This window comes from Homo sapiens, chromosome 3 (assembly GCF_000001405.40).
Source record: "Homo sapiens chromosome 3, GRCh38.p14 Primary Assembly".
In the NCBI taxonomy this organism is placed as follows: domain Eukaryota; kingdom Metazoa; phylum Chordata; class Mammalia; order Primates; family Hominidae; genus Homo; species Homo sapiens.
The window spans coordinates 4,506,417-4,523,350 of record NC_000003.12 but is presented as its reverse complement, the minus strand read 5'-3'; the positions used below and the strand labels follow the sequence as shown (position 1 = coordinate 4,523,350).

Sequence of the window (16,934 nt, the reverse complement as noted above, 5' to 3'; positions counted from 1 at the left end):
GTTGTACACCATAAATATATGTCGATTTAAAAAACAAAATTTTAAATTATGTGCATGTATTTGTAAAAAACAAATAGCCACTAGTTAACTTCGTACAGTACATTAGAATCTCTCCCAGGTTCATCTCCCAGCTCCCAAGGCCCGTATATAGAACAAGATAAGAGCTCACGCTGGACCCAAGCAATGCCTTCCGGACGCATATCCCTCCCCTTGGTCCCAGCTGCAAAAGCGAAACCTAGATCAGCTCTTCCCTGAATAACAAAGTTCAAGTTTTATTAGCCTAGATTTCATTAGCCATGGTTCTTAACCTTGGCAGCACAAGAGAAACACCTGAGAAGCTTTCAAAAATCCCAATGCCCAGTTAACTCAAAATCCCTGAGCTGGATTCAGCTATCAGTGTTTCTGAGAGTTCTCCAGGTGATCTCCCTGTGCAGCCAAAGTTGAGAACCATGGCTCCCACTCCATCCGTCACCAGCCATGTGACCTCAGACAAGGTTCTTAAGTTCCGAGGGTATCAATCTCTTCCTAGGGAGGAGGGATGGCTCCCTGAGCTAATGCAGGCAGAGTGCTTAGCACAGGGCCTGGCACAGTCAATTGATCTTGTCCCTTTTAATATTCACAGTGGGGAAGTAATTCTATGAGTGACTGAATTATGATCGTTGGACGAAACATTTCATTTTTGCAGCACTCAAGATTTTGTCTTGTCTTGGAAGGAAACATGAAAGAAGGATTGAGAAGAAAAAGGCGGTGGAGGCAGTAGCCGCCTTGGGTTCCTCTTACAACTTGTATCAACAACTGTTATTCTCTCTCTTTAACAGCCTCCCCTACCACCACCCATCCTCAGGTGAAAACATTCTCCTGATTGTCTCACGCCAACTGGATGCAACTCAACACCAAATGTCTTCCAAATGGCTTTTCTCCATCTGAACGTCTGAGTTCTATTTTATTCTAATTTATTTAGCTTTTATCCAAAAAAGTCAAACAGTTTCTAAACCACTAAACAATAAGAACTTAGAACTTGAGTTATATAATCTGCAAATGGCAAGATTTGAGCCCTTTGGGACTGAAGTCATCAGTCAAATACCTAACCCAGTGGTTTTCCGCCCTGGCTGTAAAGAATCATCCCCAATTCCAGAGGTTACCTTAATTGATAAATAATTTAATTAATAAATAGATGTTAGGGCTCTATAGTTGATCCCTAAGCTCTACAATGGAGCCCCAAGCATCTATTTAATTTAAAAACTTCCTCAGATGATTCTAACATGTGCCTAGAGCTGAGGACCACTAACCACAACAACAAAAAAGAAAAACAAATGTTTATCATCTAAGATACCAAGTGTATTTCAAAGACCTCCTACAATAAACTAAGCTACCTTTGGAGAAAGATACCAAATTCAGGAGGCCTAAAGAAAAAACTAATTTGGGTAGAAAAGCTGCCCTGCCTATGTCTTGTTTTTGTTTTTGTTTTTGTTTTTGTTTTTGAGACAGGGTCTCACTTTGTCGCCCAGGCTGGAGTACAGTGGTGCGATCTCGGTTCACAGTAGCCTGGAACTCCCAGGCTCAGGTGATCCTCCCAACCTCAGCCTCCTGAGTAGCTGGGACTACAGGTGCATGCTACCACACCCAGCTAATTTCTGTATTTTCAGTAGAGACAGTGTTTCACCATGTTGCCCAGGCTGGTCTAGAATTCCCAGACTCGTCTAGAATTCCCAGGCTCTAGCAATCTCCACACCCTGGCCTCCCAAAGTGCTGAGATTACAAGCATGCGCCACTGTGCCCAGCCTGCCTATGTCTTTTAACTCAAAAAACAAGTGCAATAATTAAGAACGTTTCATTCCAGTGAGACATTCAGTGAGGTATCATTAGATACCTCTTAAAGAAGGTATCTAAGAATATCAGCATCCCCAAACGGACAGTGAGATCTGCTGAAATAATGAATGTTCCCTGTGACTGGATCCATAAATACTATTTGTTTGAAGAAATACCTGTACAAATGTAAGACTTTAAACCGAATTAGCACTTGTCAACACATATTCAATAGACAAATTAAGGACCCAGTAAAAGCCAACCCAATCTTGATACTAAATTTATGTATGCATTTTTCAAGTTGTAAAGCTTAGAACTCAAATCATACTCTGAAAAAAATACATAATAAATAAGCCTATTTTGCTTATAAACACACACACACACCAACAACACACTTCAAGAATTTTCAAGTGAGTCAAGGTGACTACTCCAGGAAAGCCACCACCTTACCTCTGAATTTCTTAGGTGGATTGTTAAGGTCCCCGGTTTCTGGCTGTACAACACAACGATCATCAACCAGGCTGTAAAGAAGACAGATAAATGCTCTGTCAAGTGTATGAAAATGAAACTCTTAGCACTATGCAAAAATCAGATATCCCAGGGCTTTTCCTGCGCAACATTTAGATTGCCATATTCTCCTGCCAGGAACTCTTTACACTAGAGGCTTCCTATGCATGGATCTAAACCTAATCCAAAAGCCCAGGGTTCTGTTCTGTGAAGGACACATTAAGGCTACTGTTTTCTGTGGCTCCTTTCCCATAACCATGTCCATGGTAGATCTGAGTATAGCATGCAAGGTGGCTGAAGTCGCGAGACACAGCAAGGGGCTGTTGCATTCAACTAAGGGTAGCTGAGGAGCTGACTTTGTGCCAGGTGAATATGAGCCAGGCCCTTGCTCTTTGGGAGCTCAAGGCTAGTGCAGGAGCCTTAAGAACAAACTGATAAGGAGAATATAATCTAAGGGCTGTAAGAGAAGGAAGAAAAAAAAATACAGCCAGAAGCGAACTGTGCCTGAGGTCATCTGAGAAGCTGCAGACAGAGGAAGTTCTAATGGAACTACTGGAAGATTCGAAATAGATGTTGGAGGCTAGAGGGGAGCGTTTCCAGGTGGAAAGAACCATGAGCACAAACTCATGAAGATATGAAAGGACTGTGGAGCATCAAAAGCAACTAGTGGGGAAAGTACAAAAAATTACAAATAAATAAGCTCACATTACATAAAGACTCAGTATTTAAAGTCCTGACTGCTAAGTCTAACTTGCACAATTCTTTTAGAAGAACCACTTAAAAATATATTTTTGAACAGATGAGGGAACTGAGACTCTGAGAAGTTACACAACTTGTCCAAGCTCCTAAAACTGGTACTGATAGAACTGGCTAATCTTCCAAGTGACCACAGAACTTGCAGTTGTTCCCAGCTAACACACCATGGTTTTCCAGGGTTCCTCCATTCATCTGTGCTGCCTCCTCTCATCCCAAATGCAAGGTACCATTAAATATTCAGCCTTGACCCTTACTGTTCTATTCTCCAAGATTCCCTTTTGCCTCCTCAAGTCCTGCCTGTCTTTCAGGACTCAGGGTAAGAGCCCCACCTTCTCCACAAAGCCCCCCCGACCAAGCTTCTCCTGCGCCAGACACTCTCTGCCTCTCCTTCTCTGTCCTCCCAACCTCACTGACTGAGACTCCAAAGGGGCACCAGGCTACCAGCTCCATGAAGGCCAGAAGATGCCCAAGGCTGGCAGCTCAGTATCTATTTGGTGGGTAAATCAAAGTGTCCATGGTACCCCACCAGCAGTTTGCCTCCTTCAGCTTCATGACACAAGACTTCACTGTATAAACAAGAAGAACAGTGTAGCCAATGGCCTGAGTTCTCATGTAAAAATCAAGAGCAGAATATACATATATAAAACCACCACCTTAAGCTCCTGTAAGTATAGTAATGCCCCCAGAGCTAACATAATGCTTGACAGGGTGGGCTCAGAATCCAAGGTAGGGCTAGGTTAATAAATCATCAAGCCATGGCCAGGCATGGTGGCTCACACCTGTAATCCCAGCACTTTGGGAGGCCGAGACAGGCGGATCACGAGGTCAAGAGATTGAGACCATTCTGGCCAACATGGCAAAATCCTGTCACTACTAGAAATTCAAAAATTAGCTGGGCGTGGTGGCAGGCGCCTGTAGTCCCAGCTACATGGGAGGCTGAGGCAGATGAATTGCTTGAACCCAGGAGGTGGAGGGTGCAGTGAGCCAAGATCGTGCCACTGCACTCCAGCCTGGCGACAGAGTGAGACTCCATCTCAAGAAAAAAAAAAATAAATAAATCATCAAGTTCTCAAATGGGGAGGAAGTGGTAAGAGGAGCCCCAGTCAAGCTCAGATGACAAATGAATTGTAGATGGCACTCTGCCACCTACTAGCGGCATGATCATGACTGTGGCATTTTACCCCTACCGGTCTCAGTTTTTTCATCTGTAAAATGAAAGTTGGTCTCAGGGATTCTTAACGAGGGGGATGTTCATCAGACTTATTGTTTCCAAATATACTGACGCCAGGACTCTGTCAACCCAGCTTACTAAAGCTGTGCTGTAGGATGAGGCCCAAGAATCCTGCCCGTCTTGTTTTTATAAAGAGACAGGGTTCTTGCTATATTGCCCAGGCTGGTCTTAAAAGCTGGTCTTGAGCTCCTGGTCTCAAAGGATCCTCCCATCTCAGCCTCCCAAGTAGCTGGGATTACAGGCGTTAGCTACCGCACCAAGCTGAACCTTTATTTTTAACAAGCTAAAAAGGCAATTCAGAAGCATGCCACTGAGTAGTGTGCACACACACACACTTGCCCTCCAAGATCCTATTGGAGTTCTCAAGTTCAACCAGTAGATGAAGCCATTTGGAGGTAACCACCATCTATATAAATGGGATGGGGCTGGAGTGCTACACAGTGAGTCCCATAACGACTGGCACTCACTCACCGTAGTCCACAACAGGTCCCCCATAAATATTAAAAACAGGAAGGGTTGTCAAACTTTCTTTCCAACCCCATTTTTACACTGCTATCCTCAAATATGTGCAAGCAACTGAGAAAATAAAGTATTCATCTCAAGAAAGTATTAGCAACCCAAAGTTCAAAAAGAAGCCCTCCTCACTTTAAAAGGGCAGGAGGGACTCATCATTAATTTGTTTACAATGTTTGAGGAAAACACTTAAAAAGCACTTCATATGATTTTAAAGAAGAGATGCCCTGGAAGAGAAAGAAGGTACTAAGATCCCGGGGGCTCAGGAGGCACCTGGGTGACTGGGAAATCAAGACCCCCAGGGGAAACATGGGAATAGAGTGGGTTGAGGTTTAACCAGGCATCCAGATAGGGGCTGTGCACAGTCAAGGAGGAGGGAGAGCTGCGGGCAGACAAGGAAGCTGGAAAGAGAGAAGCTGGCCTGCAGAGAGCAACTGCTGGCAGCCCTAGCCTTGGAGTCTGGAATTTTCTGAGCTGTGAAATCTTGGGCAAGTGACTTTGCCTCTCTGAAGCTCAAAAGTTTTGCCTCCACAAACAGCAATGATGACAATGTTCACCATAGACAGTTGTGTGAGGATTAAGGAAGATGTAGGCACAGTATTTAGCATAGTGCCTAGCACACAGCAAATACCCACTGGGCTCATTTAGTGCTTTTCATTTATTACTGTTGCTGTCATTACTGAAAAGAAGAAGAGGGTAAAAGAGTCAACCATAGACGATGAAAACAGGAAGGAGCCAACCATGAAGAAAGGAGGGAGAGTCAGAGGCAGGGCAGAAGGAGGCCTCTTTGCCAAAAGCCACAGAAGATAAATTGTTAAGGGTAGGTCCATAATGGAGAGAGGTCAAATGTAGAAAGTCACTGGATCTGGTGATCAGGCAGCCATGGATGACTTCTTTTTCACTGGATGACATTTGAAACAAAATCTCTCTACAGTGGGAGCACAAGTCTAATTGAGCTATAATTCTGTATCTATAATAATTTGCTCCCTGAGTGTGGAGTAACCTGCATGAGAGCCTAGGAATACTCATTCTGCACAAATACCAGGAAACAAGCATGCTTTAAATAATAGCTATAATTGAAAGGAAGGTCTGGCTGCTGTAAAAATGAGGTTCTTGGAGAAGCTGCTGGTCTTCCTTCCCCCAATTTATTTGAGTCCAGCTCTTGCCAAATTCAACAATGCCGCCCCGGGGCCTCACTACTCCTTTCTACACAAAGACAATATAGACCATTCGTAACTATTTTGGAGTTAACCATCTTGATTCTCCATTCTGCCTCTGTCTGCCTTTGGGACTATTTCACCTCTCATTTCCTCTTCTAGACAATAGGCGTAGGAGGAGACGGGAGAAGATAATCAAATGAGTACATTATGAAATATATTTATACCCTTAAAAGTTGTATAAAGATTGGGAAAAAAGCACAAAAGAGCAAAAATCTGATTTATAGAACTTTATGCAATTTATAATTTTCAAATGCATACAGCAATGTAAAATAGGAAATGTCTGCTTCAAAGAAAAGAGATAGGCAGCCCAGGAGGTTTGGTCTTTGCTTATATTATAAAGGAGTCACTATCTGAAAAGAAGAGCCTTTACAAAACTAAAAAGCACTTCTTTGGGCTCTGCAAATATTCATCTTTACACTTTATTCCATTTAAACTGTATTCCATAGTGGAATAAAGGCACTCTCCCTTTTATATAGAAAGGAAAAGCAAATTTTAATAAACTCAGAATAGTGTCCTAAATAATGAGGTTTTGCTCTTTCAGAAATATACAGAAAATTGTGTTTTTGTATAAGAGGTTAAACTTGGCTAACATGAGATTTGGTGTTTGTGATTTCAACCGCACTTAGAAAGCCAAGTAAAACGGTGACGTTCTTATGTTAGAAAAATCACAGTTTTAAGCTGATGTTATGATGTCTTAAACAAACCGTGCCACACAAGAAATTGCATGCTCTTACCCCAAGGTGCTAATAAATCCATTTGTCGATCCCTCCGCGTACAGAGAACAAATGTCTCCAATATGTAGGAAGCTAGACATTTTGTCAGACATGTCTTTCTTGAAAATCCTAGACAAAGTAAAATATGCAGCATTGTTAGAAGAAAAGAAATGTTCAGAAGGGGAAAAAAGTCACTAAGAGTTGGCTTAGCTCAATTTTCCAAAGCGCCTTACTTAAAAGTCAAATTTAAATAACAGTTTGACAGGCAGGCGATTCAATGAGCCAAGTAAGGACATATGCAACAACACTTTTTCCCCGTATATTATCTAATTTCAGGATATTCCAACCACAGTAACATTTGTTTCTAACAAAACCATGCCTGAATCAGATTCTACAAGTTGAGGACCCTTGATAATAAAAACTGCAGTGAATAGAAAGCCTGCAGGGAACTCAGCCAAGAACGTGGCAGTGACTAGGGAGTTACCTGGAAAGTCTGACTTATGAAACATTAACATATTCAATTTGCTTCAGGGAATGTTAAGTCAGAAGGAAACACCTGGTATAAAAACCTGCTTCTGGCAAGGCCACAGTGCCTGGGCTAAGGTACCAAAGCAACAAAATGACATTAATAAAAAGAAACCTGCCAATAAATACCACAAATTTCCAGCAGCCTTTTAGGCCTTTTCAGAATTCCACAACTGTACGCATGTCACCCAAATGCTACTTAAATGTCTTGCCTTCTCATCCTTCACCAAGAAACACTTCCAGAGGATGAAAACCCTTTAGACAGTACCTGGCCCAGATCCTTCAGTATTTGGGTAAGAATAATAAGGTTCCCTGCCCAGGAACACGCAGCTAGTTAGAGGCAGTCTTAGAAAAAGCTCTTAAGTCTCAGGAAATCTCTACATAGCTCAGAAATCATTAAACACACATACACACACATAAATATCAACAAAAATATTGATGTGACTCCTAGAAACAGCTTTCATCAGGGCCATAAATATTGAGGAGTGGGAACCAATTGTAAAAAGCTAAATTGACAATTAAAAAACAAACTCAGTTATGTGGGAAGACTGTGTGCTGGTGTGGACTGCAGCTAATAGCCCAGTGTTTCCTCAGGCATCTGCTGTGGAGATGCCCAGGGCAACCCAGGTTTTCCCAAAACCCCTCCTCCAAACCCAGACCCCTTTACACCCCTTTCCCCATCAATTTACTCGACTTCCCCTTCCAGAAGCCATTTACCCCACACAGTTACAAGAGTTGTAACAGTGTGGAACGGTATTGTGTCTCCTTCAATTGCTTCCTGGGTGCCAAGTTTTCTTTCAGGAAGAATTATGCAGCAATGATCAGCATGACACCTCAGGAAGCAACCTACCACCTTAGCAGGAATGTCAGTTACTGAAAGCAAACTTATGTTAAAGAACCTCAGTTCACTGCTTATGAGAAGCTGCAGGGAAAAGCTGATTTGTCATCCCCTTCCCTCCCCTCCAACAACCCAGACATTGCAGGAGAGATAAAGAGCATTTCATTAAACATGAACTTATTTATAGAGGGAGACAGCAACTGAGAACACAGAATAAACTCTCAAACAAAAGAGCCAGCATCTCTAGACCTTGAGGGAAGATACACAAATAATGTACAGAAGGACGGTTTGCCAAGTACCACTCTAGAATCATGTCAGTCATTGTTTAATTCTTCGTAACTACATATTTTATATTTAAAGGCAAACCAATGTTTTAAACAGCATCCAGAAAGGCGGCACAAATGGAAAACATCAAGGGGGATTAATATTTCCCTTCTGCGCTTATATTATAAAGCTTTATCTTAAAGGGTCAGGAAGTCAGCATACTTCTAAGACCAATTATTAGAAGACAATTTGTTTGAATTTTGAACCAGACCAAATTTATGTCTGTACACCCTGGCATCCCGAAAGGACACCAGGGAATTTCCAAATGCAGAAGAGCAGGTATGTGCTCCGCAAGAGGACTAGGGCCTTGTCCAGTGTGACTAAGGCTCTCCTTTCAGGATCACCCTTCAGATAAGCATTCAGCCCTAGTGGAGACTAGGCCAGAAAATGCCTGCTGTTTTGTGAACCATCACCGCCACCTGGATACCTTACTGAAAGATTCCAGGCCCTTAATGGGAAGAAGCAGACAATTCAGTGTCCTCGAGTGACAAAGCATGATGTACCCCATGTTGCTTGCAGCTGATCATTGCAATAGATGTCTGGACATTGCATTCCTACAGCACGGTTCTGCATTATTTTCTTTTCTGATAATAATAGCTGGCATTTATCAAGGATTTCTCATGCCCACCATTGTGCTGAGTGCTTTACAAATGTTCTCTTAGTGAATCCTCATGACCACAGCAGGAGGTAGGAACTACCATTATTGCCATTTTGTTGTTGAAGACACTGAGGTGTAATACAGAGAGGTAAGATCCCCACATCACATAAAATTAGTAAGCAGGAGGACCAGGGTTGTTACAACCCAGGTCTATCAGACTTTTTTTTTTTTTTTAGACAGAGTCTTGCTCTGTTGCCCAAGCTGGAGTGCAGTGGCACAATCTCAGCTCACTGCAACCTCCACCTCCCAGGTTCAAGCGATTCTCCCGCCTCAGCCTCCTGAGTAGCTGGGATTACAGGCACCCACCGCCATGCCTGGCTAAACGTTTGTATTTTTTGTAGAGATGGGGTTTTGCCATGTTGGACAGGCGGGTCTTGAACTCCTGGCCTCAAGTGATCTGCCTGCCTCAGCCTCCCAAAGTAATGGGATGACAGCCAAAAGCCACCGCACCCAACCTAGGTCTATCTGATTCTTCAGTGGAGGTGTTTATCAACAGTGATCCTGGGAACACAGGTTAAAATGTTAAATGTTCTTATACTCCGGATGATTATGGAGAACTGAGTTTCTTCTTATGCACAATTCTGTTTTCTAATTTTTCTACCATGGCTCTGTAATACTTCCATAAGTCAGAAAAAAAATTAAGCATCTTCTAACCAAGATACTTATTAAGTGGCCGAGATAAGTGAATAAGTAACCTTTAGCTACATTTTACATCTCCCCCTGAAATCACAGGCCAGTCCACCCACCACAGCTAATGATCCTCTGGGCAATCTGCCAGGGGTCCCAATTAAAAACAACCAAAAAGTAGGGGAGGACAGATCCTTCCCCAGGGGTCTCATGTGATAATTCCCCTCACAAAGGACTGGGCAGAAAGCTTGCTGGTCTGGCTAGAAACCTCTGGAGATCTCCTCCGGCCTCGCCTTAGTGAAGTGGAGGAAGGAGATGGGGGGAGGAGGATAGGTTTTAGTGCAATTATCAGTGATGTCCTGGAAGGAAAAACAAAGGCCGGGAAAGTCAACAGAACAGGCCTCTGTGGTGTGGAGGGGTGGAGGTGGAAAGTCCGCCCCAGAAGTGATGGGCCTAGGAGCAATCTTCTGGAAGACTTCCTGTTGTTCAGAGCTGGGTGGGAGAGCCCGCCTCTTTATCTGATCGTGGACCATTTGTGCCTGTGAACTTCTAGCAGCTGCACTCAGGGCTCCTATGTCACTCACACCATGACAAGGACCACCTCAGAGAAAACAGAGCTGGCGCCAACCTGCCACGGAGCTGCGGAACTTCAAACACTTACAGACACCGAGGGCTCGGCTCTGCTGACAAGCCATGCCTGACATACACGAGGGCAGGCTTAGGCGCTCAGCTCCCGCACTCCACCCTGGCTCTCTGCCCCTAAGCTCTTATTATTATTATTATCATCTAGCTTGTTATTAGGAGCCCACCACAACCTCTCTGCTTTCATTTCCTCCTCTGTTAAATGGGGATAATTTAACTTCAAGAGGCTGTGGTGAGCAATGGGTGAAATAATGCTTGAAAAGCACCTGGTACAGTGGCTGACATACTTGAATTAATCTATGCTAGTTATTTTTATTTTTCTTCCACGAGAGATAAGTGGAATTCTGAAAGATTCCAGGGCATCAAAATTTAAACTCAGTAAAGGATCCCCTGTTTAAAAAATCAGATGTGTATCATAACAAATGAACTCCTATATGACCCATGATGACAGATTTTACTTCAGGGAAGATAATTTATCCTTCCTAATTCCCCTGATGAAAAAAGGTGAACAATAGCGAATTACACTCAACTGCCAGCCACAGAGCATTCTAACCTTTCAAAAAACACAGAATCATGGAATAAAAGTTGGAAGGAACCCTGTAAAGCATGTAATTCCACCTCCCACCCAATAATGAAATCTCCCCATCGCGCTGCCTATGGATGGTCTCACTGGGCAATAGAGCCTATTCTTTGTTCAAACAGCCTTGTTCAGACAATTACTCCTAAACCAGGCACGGTGGCTCATGCCTGTCATCACATCTTAAACAGCCAAGGTGGGAGGATGGCTTGAAGCAAGGAGTTTGAGACCAGCCAGACCCCATTTCTACAAAAAATAAAAATAAAAACACATTATCAGGGCATGGTGGTACACATCTGTAACCCCAGCTACTTGGGAGGATCACTTGAGCCTGGGAGCTCCAGGCTGCAGTGAGCTGTGATCATACCACTGCATTCCAGCCTGGGCAACAGAGCAAGACCCTGCCTGTGAAAAAATAAAACAATTACTCCTGTCCCCTCCCTTAGCCCCACAAAGGATAGCCGCCTCCCAGAACTTTTGCTATTCATCTGCCCTCTGAAGCATCTAAGACCTCTGCATATGTGAATGCTATCTAGATTATTTCTCCTTAAGGCTTTGCTTCTTTTCACAAAGCATCACCATCCTCCCCGCAATTCCTGACGCAGAATGACCTCAAAAGCACCTCTCAGCCCATGGCAGGCAGGAGCTGAGGCTCCAGAGTCAAAGTGCCCAGGTTCAAACCCCAGCTCTGCCACTTACTCACTGAAGAACTTCAGGCAAGTTCCAGAACTTCCCTAAGCCTCACTTTTCCCAGCTGTAAAATGGGGAGAATAAGAGCACCTACCTCAGCAAGCTGACATAAGGTTCAGCAAGACGGTATTTATAAACACTCAGCAAAGCATCTGGCGTGAAGTAGGCATGCCACCAATATATAATAGTACTATCAGACCGCCACCCACCACCATTCTGATGGGTGCAAGCACCTGTTAAAACAGGATTCTTCCAGGGTGGCTTTGGCCAAGGCAAAGAAAGGTAGATCACTGCCTCTGGGAGACACTCTTGCAGAGGGAGGCTGTGGCAGCTTTGTTGAGCCTGACACCACCCTCTGGCTGAGCTTCCCTTTGCCCTCTATTGAAATTGCTCCCTGAGCTGTGCGTAAAAAAAAAGGGGGGGCAGGGAAGATTTGATTCTATTCCCAAGAAAAGTGCAAATAAAGAAAAAAATAAATGCAGAAAGATCTCCTTGGGGAAGAGAAGCCAGAGCTGCTCTTCAGCGTCTGTATTGCTCTCTGCCTTCTCTATACCTTTCCTGGTCTTCTCGTCCACTCTGCTGGCTCCAGTCACTGTTACGTGAAGAGGATTCCCAAATCTGTCTCTCATGTCCCACAGCTACTAGAGTTTTGCTCCTAGCGGCTCACGGCATCTCAATGTACCAAAAAGAATTTACCTGCCTGCCCAACCTGTTCCTCCTTCATAGCCATTTCTCAGTGACCACCAGCAAAGCCTGGTGGCTCCTCCAGTCCTCCCTCTCTCATGTTCCCTGCCACAGGGCCCTTGCCTGTGCTGTTTTCTCAAGCCCACAACACTCTCGTCCCTACCCCACCCCTTGCTCTAATTATAGCCAAGTCACCCTCCAGCTCTGAATTCAACTACCATTTCCACCAGAAAATCTTCCCCATCCCCTCAGATGAAGTTAAATTCCACTCTTATAAACTCTACACCATGGATCTCTACTTCCCAGCCTTCATCTCAGTTACAAGTTCACATTTACTTGTGCAATTCCTGTCTGACACCGTACAAGGCACATGCTGTATTCTAGAGATCTGTGTGTGATGTGTTTTATACACAACTGTATTCCAAACACCAATGCCTAGCACATAGTAGGTATTCAGTAAATACCTGTTGAATAAATGAATGAAAAAGTCTAATCCAGCATCAATTTTTGCTGACTTTAAGCTTTACTATATCTCTTGATTCTTCTAGTTCCCTTGCCCCTGCTAACCTGAGTCTCAGCCAGTATCATTTCTCAACTGGACTCCCTAAGGCCTTCCTACTCGTTTCTCTGAATCTGTCTTTCCTCCTCAATCTATTCGGCATACAACATCCAGCATGATATTTTAGAAACATAAATCAGACCATATCATTTCCCTGCTTAAAACCTTCCAACATCTCTTTGGAGCTCTTCATGATCTAGCCCTGCCTACCTTGAGCCCTGCTCTCCATACTCCAGCCATAATGATTTTTTTTCCAGGGCCCCCACCATGCTCTGTTCCCTGGGCCTTTGCACATGCTGTCTCTCAGCCTGAGACATCTCCCTCCCTCTCCCACCACCACTTGTGGCTAACTCCCACTCACCTTCACAGCCCCAGTTTGATGTCTCCACCTCTGGGAAGCCCTCTCCGACCTCCCAGATCTGGGTTATACGTTTCCAACATACTCTTCTATACAGCAACCTGGGTCCACTACCACTGTCCTAACATTGCTTATTCACTTGTTTGTTTGTCTTCTCCACTAGACTGCAAGCTCATGAGGGCAAGAACCTCAGTTGTCTTCTTTCCTGTTGCATCCTAGTACCTGGTAGTACCTGGGATAGAGCAAGCAGTCAAATATGGGTTCAATGTCACTTTAGTGCTATTGTATCTGCTGCCTAGAAGAGTTTATACTGGTTTTGTTTTTTAGAGTTATGGTCTCACTCTGTCACCCAGGCTGGAAGGTAGTGGTGCAATCATAGCTCACTGCAGCCTTGACCTCCCAGGCTCAAGTGATCCTCCCACCTCAGCCTCCTGAGTAGCTAGAACTACCGGTGCGTACCACCATGTCTGGCTAAGTTTTTTCATTCTTATTTTTGTAGAGACAAGGTCTCACTATGGTGCCCAGGTTGGTCTTGAACTCTGGCCTCAAGTAATCCTCCTGCTTCAGCCTCTCAAAGTGCTGGAATTACAGGCATGAGCCACCACACCTGGTTTGTTTTTTAGATGACTGCTCTCCAAAACAAATTAAAGCCAAATTTACAGTGTTAGATCAAGAACAGAAACCTACTTGGCCCTTTTCAATAGATTTCTATGAGAAATTTGGAAGCAAGAAACAAAATATCTAACTTTTATCCCTGGAAAGATACTCTAACTTTTATCCCCATTGACCATCCCCTCCACATGTCCAAAATGGCTTGGAGTACTGACAAGAGTGTACACTTGGAAACAGACTCAGAATATGTGAGTCTGAATTCCAGCCTCATAAATTACCAGCTGTGTGTCCTTAAGCAACTTCCATAACTTCTCTGAACCTCAGCTCTCTTATCTGTAAAAAAGGGGGCAACCTTTCATATTTCTCAGGGTCATTGTGAGGAGTAAACCAAATAATCCACATAAAGTGGTCAACACAATACTTGGCCCTTTATGCTCACTTTCTGTATGTCTGAATGAGTCTGAAATGAAAACATTCGTTTTTGTTCCTTCAAAGTCTTCACTCACCTCTGTCCTGTGATTCCTCTACTTGATGAATGTTGCTTACCTGGTCAATACTCTAGGAAATACATCTGGAGAAACAAAGATCCCAGAAATGTTTAAATCCTCTGTAAGCCCACGAGGTGGCTGATACTTGGACAGCATCTCCAAAGTACTGTTGTTTTTCAGTACCCAAACTCACAATACCAAAGCTGGCCAGACCTCAACTCAACTCCCCCGCCTTCTAACATCAATCTAGGTCCCCTGCTGGCAGTGGGGGTGGTGGAAACCTCTTCAAAGGGATAGTAATTCAGTATTTAGAACCTCTTCCACTCTGGTGTTAAAACAGGCCAAAGCACAACCTCACTAAAAAAGAAATATGTTCATTTAATTTTAAGCAGCAGCTCAAGATAGGTTTGGAATTTTTTTTTTTCTAAAAGCTTTTAGTGTGATAGAAAACTCACTCATTTGACTGTGGCAGAAAACTCACTTATTGAAATTTTTCCATCTATTAGTTCTCCTGCACACACTTAACTAATTGCATTACATTCATTTAAAAAAAAAAAAAAAAAAAAACCTTGATTTTCGCCTACACAGAATTCCGAATTTAAAAGTTAACAACTCCTGAAACTGAGACTAAAGTAGAACACTTCATTAACCAATAAGTTACCTAAGGGATCACTTAATCTTCAAGGGTGGACAGGCTTGGGAGGAAATGAGAAATTGACTTTATACTAGTTAAGGGACCCCAAAACCACAGACCTGCCAGTTTTTACCAAGACACAAAGGCAAGCCTCCTACGTTTAATTAAGATGAAGCCACCTGGCCACTGGGGCTGAACAGTCTGACTTTCAGTAATCGGGTGGCAGGGTAGTCCCACTGACAGTCTGACCTTAAATGAAACCCTTCTGAGCATGAGAGTCAGGTACTTTGGATCCCCTGCCTGCCTGCAACCCCTCGCCTCGTCCCCACAGTGCACCATTAATTTCCTGATGACCAAGCTCCTCTGTATTTTACCACACAATTACCTTAACAGTGAAAATCTTATATATCACTGACCCAAGACACACGCAAAACACTCCCCAGAAGCCTGAATTTGTAATCATTTAACCTCCTTAAACAGTGAAGCTGGCTAGCACAGAATATAGCTCATCTATTATTAAAAGCTTCTATCCTGGTTCCTTAAACACCAGTTATGACAGAACCTAAGAGCAATAAGCATCAATCTAATTTCTATTGTAGGACACAACTTCATCTGAGGCCAAAAGCTACAAAAAGAACAAAGTAAGTGTTGGAGACTAACAGTTATAAAGGAAGTTACACTTGAAGCTGCTATTCTCAGACACAGAGAGGAACCTATGCTTTATAATTTTTTAATGACCCATCCCACTGCAGAACTTCTGGACTGCTTGGTATAATCTTGCTCATAAGAAAAAGATGAACGTAGGACAAGTACCACTAGCTTCCACATTCTCAGCGTTTCTTTGCATTTCAGGAGGAACTTTAGGAAGCAATTTTGTTTCACAAAAACAACTGAAAAGTATCCCCATGCATTTTTTTCTGAACAGAAAGATCTCATACAATACCCAGACTTAGAGATGGTCAATTGCACCCTGTCACTTAAGCCTTCAATTTCTCCCTCTCTCTAATGTTCCATGCCACAACCCCACATTTCAAATTACCTATGTACTCTAGGAGCTGGTGGCCCAAGGGTCAGGGAAACTTCAAGGTCAAAACTATTTCACAATAACATTGGGGCATTATTTTCATTTTCACTCAGTCTCTCACACATGTACAGTGAAGTTTTCCAGAGGCTGCAAGGCACATGATGTAACAACAGACTGAAGACAGAAACAGATATATGATCTGTGAATCCGGCTATGTTCTGTGAAACCAGACCTCAAAGTGATTCGCAAAAAAAAAAAAAAAAAATTGCTACTCTTCTCAAAATTTTTGTTTGGGAAAATATTCTTATTGTTCATTAAAAATATGTCAATACGTTAATGTGTAATTGGTTTTTAAAAATATTTTTTCAGTGTTCATTTTCTCAGTGTTAATTTCTAACATTGTAAATACAGACAGATGTAACTCACATCAACAGTTCTTTAGGGTCCTGAATTGTTTTTAGGCATGAAAAGAGCTCCTGAGAGCCAGAAGTTTGAAAACTGCTGCCATAAACTTTTCTTTAAGAGTTGTCCTGGCAATGACTGTGTGCTTAGGACTCTCACTGTATAAGTTTGGAAACTTTATATAACAGGATGAAAATGCAAAATATAAAACTGAACAGCCAGGGCTCTAGAAAGTGAACTGTTCCATGTGAAACTTAAATCTTCCTTCTTATCGAACATATTTATTGATACCTACTATATGCCACCCCTATACTAGGTACTGGGGATACAGATCAAAGCAAGACATACAAGGTCCCTGCTCCCGTGATACCTATATTCTAGTGAGGGCAGACAGACAGGAAACAAACAGATAAAACAAGCAAGACAAATCAGATAGTGATGAGTATATGCAAAAAATTAAAACTGGTGATATGATTAAGTGACAATGCAATTTTGGCTGGTCAGAAAAAACAAGATGAGATGTTTAAGCGAAGACCTGAAAGTCAA

At 42.9% G+C, this 16,934-nt stretch overlaps 1 protein-coding gene across 4 annotated transcripts in view, besides 1 other annotated feature; it reads right to left on the bottom strand.

Moving 5' to 3' along the window:
• Window positions 1-16,934, bottom strand: part of ITPR1 (inositol 1,4,5-trisphosphate receptor type 1) — a 354,159-nt gene that overhangs the window by 324,156 nt on the left and 13,069 nt on the right. For all 4 annotated transcript variants that reach the window (NM_001378452.1, NM_001099952.4, NM_001168272.2 and 1 more), the window contains 2 exon segments: window positions 6,768-6,875; window positions 2,257-2,327 (listed from right to left, as the gene is read on the bottom strand). In NM_001378452.1, coding sequence (NP_001365381.1) covers window positions 2,257-2,327; window positions 6,768-6,859 — 163 coding nt within the window. In that variant the 5' untranslated portion in view covers window positions 6,860-6,875.
• Window positions 8,711-9,223: an enhancer, noted in NCBI's record as "OCT4-NANOG hESC enhancer chr3:4555812-4556324 (GRCh37/hg19 assembly coordinates)". NCBI's record gives its function as "activates a minimal SCP1, AML or CMV promoter by ChIP-STARR-seq in primed H9 embryonic stem cells {active_cell/tissue: H9 hESC(primed)}" and the evidence as "EXISTENCE:reporter gene assay evidence [ECO:0000049][PMID:30033119]".